General features: G+C 42.1%; 1 pseudogene, besides 2 other annotated features; it reads left to right on the top strand.

The window, feature by feature from the left end:
- RN7SKP11 (RN7SK pseudogene 11) lies at window positions 311-597 on the top strand (annotated as a pseudogene).
- Window positions 2,149-2,248: an enhancer, noted in NCBI's record as "active region_6830". NCBI's record gives its function as "activates an Ori minimal core promoter by ATAC-STARR-seq in GM12878 lymphoblastoid cells {active_cell/tissue: GM12878}" and the evidence as "EXISTENCE:reporter gene assay evidence [ECO:0000049][PMID:35858748]".
- Window positions 6,468-6,597: an enhancer, noted in NCBI's record as "active region_6829". NCBI's record gives its function as "activates an Ori minimal core promoter by ATAC-STARR-seq in GM12878 lymphoblastoid cells {active_cell/tissue: GM12878}" and the evidence as "EXISTENCE:reporter gene assay evidence [ECO:0000049][PMID:35858748]".

Below are 7,156 nucleotides of genomic sequence, written 5' to 3'. Positions count from 1 at the left end.
CCATGATGCATTTATAGGCAAAAGCCTTAGAGAAAGCATTAACTTCACTGTTTATCATTTCTTTCATTCCCACATTTTCAACCACCGATTTATGTCCATTTTTTCTTATAAACATGTTTTTTCTTCACATCCATTCCTATTGTCAGAGTCAGCCTGGAGACCAGTCATCTTGTGGCTGTACTGCCATCACAGCTGTCTCCCATGATCTTATTCTAACTGCATTCTTTTCTGTGAAATCACAGCACGAGTCAGCTTCCTCCAGCATCATTTTGGCCTCACGCCTTTCAAATCACACTTAAGCTCCTGATCCAGATGTGAGAGCATTCTGGCTGAGACATTTGCTGCCCCTTTGTTCGTCAGCACTGACTCGGCTGAGCTGACTGAGGAGGCAGATGTCCCCTTCCTTCCTCACTGCTCTCTCTGCGCACCCTGCCCCCCAACCCCCTGGAGCTGCACACATGGAGACACTGGCAAACAAACAGGAAGGGAAGCCATGATCTGGAGCAAAATTGTCTAGGGTAAGAGGGTAGCCGGGAATTGGGACTAAGAACTAGGAAACTCTAACGTTGAGGGGCCAAGTGGTGAGGGCTGAGCCTAAAAGGAGGCAGAAAAATAGATGCTAGGAGGATGGTAGGAGGAAAATCAGAAAAATGTGGTGTTGTGGAAGCCAAGGGAAAAGATGTCTCGAACAGTAAAGAGGCATAAGCAAAATGCGGCCTATACACACAATACAATATTATTTTTTCTCGTTTTCTTTTGCTTTTGAGACAGAGTTTTGCTCTTGTCACCCAGGCTGGAGTGCAGTGGCGCAATCTCAGTTCACTGTAACCTCCACCTCCCAGGTTCAAGTGATTCTCCTGCCTCAGCCTCCCGAGTAGCTGGGATTACAGGCCCCATGCCCGGCTAATTTTTGTATTTATAGTAGAGATGGGGTTTCGCCATGTTAGCCAGGCTGGTCTGGAACTACTGACCTCAGGTGATACACCTGCCTCGGCCTCCCAAAGTGCTGGGATTACAGGCATGAGCCACCACGCCTGGCCACAATACAATATTATTTAGCCTTAAAAAGGAAGGAAATTCTAACACATGCTACAATATGAGATGAGCTTGAAGACATTATGCTAAGTGAAATAAGTCAGTCACAAAAGTGACAAATACTGTATGGTTCCACTTATATAAAGTACCTAGAGTAGGCAAGGTGTGGTGTCTCATGTCTGTAATCCTCTCACTTTGGGAGGCTGAGGTGGATGCATCACCTGAGGTCAGGAGTTCGAGACCAGCCTGGCCAACATGGTGAAACCCCGTCCCTACTGAAAACACAAAAATTAGCCTGGCGTGGTGGCAGATGCCTATAATCCCAGCTACTTGGGACACTGAGGCAGGATAATCGGTTGAACCCAGGAGGCGGAAGTTGCAGTGAACCGAGATGGCTCCATTGTACTCCATCCTGGGCAATAAGAGCGAAACTCTGTCTCAAAAAAATAAATAAATAAAAAATAAAAAAAATAAAGTACCTAGAGTAGTCAAACCCATGGAGACAGAAAGTAAAGGGTGGTTGCCAGAGGCTGGGGGAAGATGGTAAACAGGAGTTATTGTGCAATGGGTATAGAGTTTCAGTCTTGCAAGCTAAAAAGAGCTCTGTGAGCCTGGCACTGTGGTTCCCTAATCCCAGCACTTTGGGAGGGTAAGGTGAGAGAATTGCTTGAGCTCAGGAGTTCGAGATCAACCTGGGCAATAGAGCAAGACCTCACCTCTACTAAATCCCACCCTCCCCATAAAAAAATCCCCAAAACTGGCCAGGCGTGGGGGCATGAACCTGTAGTCCCAGCTACTTGAGAGGCTGCAGCAGGAGGATCGTTTGATCCCAGGAGATCAAGGCTGCAGTGAATTATGATCATGCCACTGCACTCCAACCTGGGGGGCAAAGCAACAGCCTTTCTCAAAAAAGAAAAAAAGGAAAAGAGAAACAAAAGGAGTTTTATGAATGGTGGTGATGATCACACAGCAATGTGAATGCACTTAATGTCATTAAACTGTACTCTTAAAGGTAGTTTTACCACAATTTTTAGAAAAAGTAAAGAGAGGTCAGCAGATTCAGATGCAGCTGAAAGGTCGGGGATAGGGAGGACTGAAAATATCCCTTGTGTTTAGCGTCATAGAGATTGCTGGTGACAAGTGTGAGCAGGATCCTGCCTACATTCTGGGTGACTTCAATCAATATTCACATGCAAATATTTATGCATATTTTCTGGCTCATAACTGACTTTCAGTAAAAGTGAGTCATGACAGATTCAGGCTGTCTGTGGTCCATGGCTAACCTCTTCCTCCTGTCCCTGCCTTCACTTGATGCATTTCATTCTCCCTGGCGTACTCCTGGCTCCTATGCACATTTCAACATTTTCTCCATAAATCTTAACAGGCCTTAAATGTCCTGTTTTCCCTAGTAGGGTGCTGATTCCTCTTTTCTGCCAACCCACCTCTCTCCGTTGCTTCCAAACAGGCACTAAATACTTCCCCCCTCCAAGGCCTTTTCCTAGATTAATTCCATTTGGCTTCAAAAATTCTTACCATTATCTTCATCTCTTTTATCCTAATAATTTTTTTCTCATAAAGATCTTTTTTTTCTTTTGAGATGGAGTCTCACTCTGTCACCCAGGCTGGAATGCAGTGACACGATCCCGGCTCATCGCAACCTCCACCTCCCGTGTTCCAGAGATTCTCCTGTCTTAGCCTCCCGAGTAGCTGGGATTACAGGCACCCGCCACCATGCCCAACTAATTATTTTTTGTATTTTTAGTAGAGACAAGTTTTCACCATGTTGGCCAGGCTGGTCTGGAACTCCTGACCTCAGGTGATCCACTCGCCTCAGCCTCCCAAAGTACTGGGATTACAGGCATGAGCCACCACGCCCAGCCATAAAGATCTTAAAATAGTATTTATCACTCATTCAATAATTACTTAAGGAATTTAACATTCCATAAACATGAATAAAGCCACTACTACATACCAGGTATTGTGACAGTTACTAGAGATACACTTCTTGCCCTCAAACAGCTTATAGTCCAGTAGGGAAAAATGTATCTTCTGTACCTTGTACACAGACATTTTTGTCTTGAGGTTAAATTTAAAAATACAAATGGCAAAGAAAAAATCTCTCTCTAGAGAAAGATTTACAACTATTTCGGGAGACAATATAGCATTACAGTTTCAGTAGGAACTCCTTTTCCTTGCTGATAAATTTAGTATAAACTGGCCAGGCATGGTGGCTCATGCCTGTAATCCCAAAACTTTGGGAGGCTGAGACAGACAGATCACCTAAGGTCAGGAGTTCAAGACCAGCCTGGCCAACATGGCAAATCCTGTCTCTACTAAAAATACAAGAATTAGCCGGGCGTGATGGCAGGCGCCTGTAATCCCAGCTACTAGGGAGGCTGAGGTAGGAGAATTGCTTGAACCCAGGAGGCGGAGGTTACAGTGAGCTGAGATCATGCCATTACACTCCAGCCTGGGTGACGAGAGCAAAACTCCATCTCAAAAACAAAAAAAAAGTATAAACTTACTACTCTGGCCATGTTATATGTCTACAGCATAACTTTTCAACAGAGCTCTTCAGTACTAGTTTTATCAGCTCCCGTAGACATATTCTATGTTCCAGTAAAACTAAATTATGTTCCTATTTCTAAAATGCAACTGATGATTATAAGGCACACCATGAATTAATGAACATTTCAAGGAAAAAATAACACAACCATAGTACGTTCAGATGGTGGTTATAAGACATGTACCAATTACACAAATTTGAAAATGTTAAAATGGAAGGGGGGAGCAGAAGGGTAAAGCGTGCATCTTAAGTTCAAATATATACAGTGTTTGTTGCTCTCAGAAAATGCTTTGCATTTCCTGGGCTCCAGACATTTGCATGTGCTTTTCCTTCCATTTGGAACATCTCTCCTCTCCCTACCTCTACCTACAACCTACCCAGTTTCTAAAGATTTCTTCCTCTCGTCAAACCTGTCCTGATCCTACCAATCAAATGTGATCTTTTGTTTGTTGGTTGGTTCATTCAACAAACATGTATTGAATGCCTACTATGTCTCAGGCACTGTTCCAGGCATCAAGGATAAAATGGTAGATAAGACAGGCATAGTATCCTGTCTTCATGGAGTTTCTACATGGGGAGACATAAAAAGCAAGTGGATCAACAAATAAATGAAATAATTGTAAATTGTAATGAATGCCCTGATGAAACAAACAAGGTGCTGAGACAGAGAACTATATAGGGACGTCTCATCGTGGCAGATGGTCAGGAAAGACCTCTACAGGGAAGCAAAGTAAGCTGAGAGCTAAAGGGAGACGAGGAGTTACATGTGCACTTATGGAGAGAGGCACATTCCAAGCACAGGGAACATGTGCAAAAGCCACGAGGTGGGGTTGAGTTTTACATGTTTGAGAAATCCGACTTTTCATTCCTTTGAACCTCCAGAGTATTTCATATCTTCCTTTGAGGTTAATATTCGTTTGCCTTGATCATAATCCTTGTTACTTTCTTTTTTTTTTTTTTTTTTTTTTTTTTTGAGACAGAGTCTCACTCTGTCCCCCAGGCTGGAGTACAGTGGCGCCATCTCGGCTCACTGCAACCTCCGCCTCCTGGATTCAAGCGATTCTCCTGCCTCAACCTCCTGAGTAGCTGGGACTACAGGCGCTCGCCACCACGCCCGTCTAATTTTTGTATTTTTAGTAGAGACAGGGTTTCACCATGTTGGTCAGGCTGGTTTTGAACTCTTGACCTCGTGATCCACCCACCTCGGCCTCCCAAAGTGCTGGTATTACAGGCATGAGCTACCGTGCCCAGCCATAATCCTTGTTATTTTCTTATCACTGTTTGCATACCTTACTAATTCATAAGTTCTTGAGGGCAATCATTAAGTCTAATTCATCTATGTTTTCCTTACAGCACCTATAATAGTATCTTGCACAAAACAAATGTTCAGCAACTATTTTTTGAATTCTATAATACTGTAAATTGGGACCATATTTACTTAGCCAATTATAGAACATTTTATTGAGCTACATTTTAATAGTATACTTTAAGTTTTTACCAAAGGTTGCTGTCATAGCCATATTCATTAAAATATCTTCTGTAAAATGTTACTGAAAATCTTGTTTAATACATTATTCAATATGTCCTATATGAGCTCTTTTCAGAATTCAGTACTAGCAAAAATTTCACTTCTGAACTGGTTTGCTTTTTCTCCCTTCTGAATCCAACATTTGTATAATGGATTGTGCTTCTCCTTACTGTTACGGTGCTAGAAAACTCAAAGTCAGTTGAACTGTTTAATTTGAACAATTTAAGCCACATGTTTATCCATATGGTTATAATATTTGTATTTTTCTTTTCCCAGATCCTGACTTTTCTTCTTATAATGACTAATAAAAACAGTTTGCCAGGCTCTGTGCCAAGTGCTTTACACGAGTTATCTCATTTAATCTTCACAACAATATTGGGTTCTACAGATGAAAAAAGCTAAGGCTTAGAGTACTTATCAAACAGTAGTAAATATTGGAGCCTGGATTGAACCCAGGCAGTCTGGCTTCCCCACTATGCTGTATTTTAATGTCTTATCATGTGGAGTATTATCTCTTAAAACAATTTCAAGAAAGAGGAGGAGATATATATATATATATATATATATATATATATATATATATATGTATGCTTATCAGTACATAAGTATATTTGTGTAAAATGATTTGAATTGAATTAAAAACAAATTACAGTAGGTGTTGATCACCTATCTCACACATTATATTTGGTTTTTTGTTTGTTTGTTTGTTGAGACAGAGTCTTGCTCTGTTGCCCAGGCTGGAATGCAGTGGTGTGATCTCGGCTGATTGCAACCTCCACCTCCCAGATTCAAGTGATTCTCCTGCCTCAGCCTCCTGAGTAGCTGGGACCACAGGCACACGCCACCACACCCAGCTAATTTTGTGTGTGTGTATTTTTAGTAGAGATGGGGTTTCACCATGTTGGCCAGGCTGGTCTCAAACTCCTGGCCTCAAGTCACACATGATATTTGGTAGTCACTATGAAACCTACAAAGTCCACTAACCCTTTGATTATTTGATATAAACGAGTAGGACATAAATGATAGAGTATTTTTTTTTTTTTGAGACGGAGTCTTGCTCTGTCACCCAGGCTGGAGTGCAGTGGCGCAATCTCAGCTCACTGCAGTCTCTGTCTCCAGGGTTCAAGCGATTCTCCTGCTGCAGCCTCTCAAATAGCTGGGATTATAGGTGCGTGCCACCGCACCCGGCTAATTTTTGTATTTTTTTTAGTAGACACAGGATTTTGAGGCAAGAAAATAGGGTCTGGAGGCAGGGAACATAAGGCCGATTCACACTTCAGCCATGAGAGGAAATATCCTCTCCACAGGGCATACACCGAATAAATGTCTTTATAACTTTACTTCATCCTCTTTCATTTACATAGGGCATACCCCAGGTAGAGGGTATTTAAACTCACAAGAACTCTGTAACAGGGCCTTTGAGCCCCACGCTCAGGCCTGCTTCCACACTGCAGAATGTACTTTCATTTTCAATAACACCCTTCGTTCCTTCCTTGCTTTGTTTGTGCGTTTTGTCCAATTCTTTGTTCAAGATGCCAAGAACCTGGCCATCTTCTACTGGTAACAGTGTCACCATGTTGGCCAGGCTTGTCTTGAACTCCTGACCTCAAGTGATGTGCCCACCTTAGCCTCCCGAAGTGCTGGGATTACAGGCGTGAGCCACTGTGCCCAGCCAAGCATTTTTAAATGCAGTTTTAATACAAATCTAAGATGTAAGCAATTTTATTTAAATTTTCATCGGAATATCAGTCCGGATAAAGAATATGTCAAATTTTCCAATTCAAATTGTGGCCCAGCACACTGCAGTAAATTTCAGAGAGAGAGTTCCCAACTGCACTGCAGTGAAATTTCTTAGATAATACCTGCCATGTTTTAATATAAGATTGGCTCCCAGTTGGGAATTGGATCATGGGTTCCTGGCTCTTTCAGACACTCAAGTTGAGCTCATCGGGAGATTTTTATATCATTTAACACATAAATAACTCTGCATTCTCTGTCAGCCAAGATTGGTTTTACATTTTTATGGA

Source organism: Homo sapiens, chromosome 12, assembly GCF_000001405.40.
Source record: "Homo sapiens chromosome 12, GRCh38.p14 Primary Assembly".
Classification (NCBI taxonomy): Eukaryota; Metazoa; Chordata; class Mammalia; order Primates; family Hominidae; genus Homo; species Homo sapiens.
Note: the sequence above shows the minus strand (reverse complement) of the source record. Positions and strands in the feature narration are given on the sequence as shown.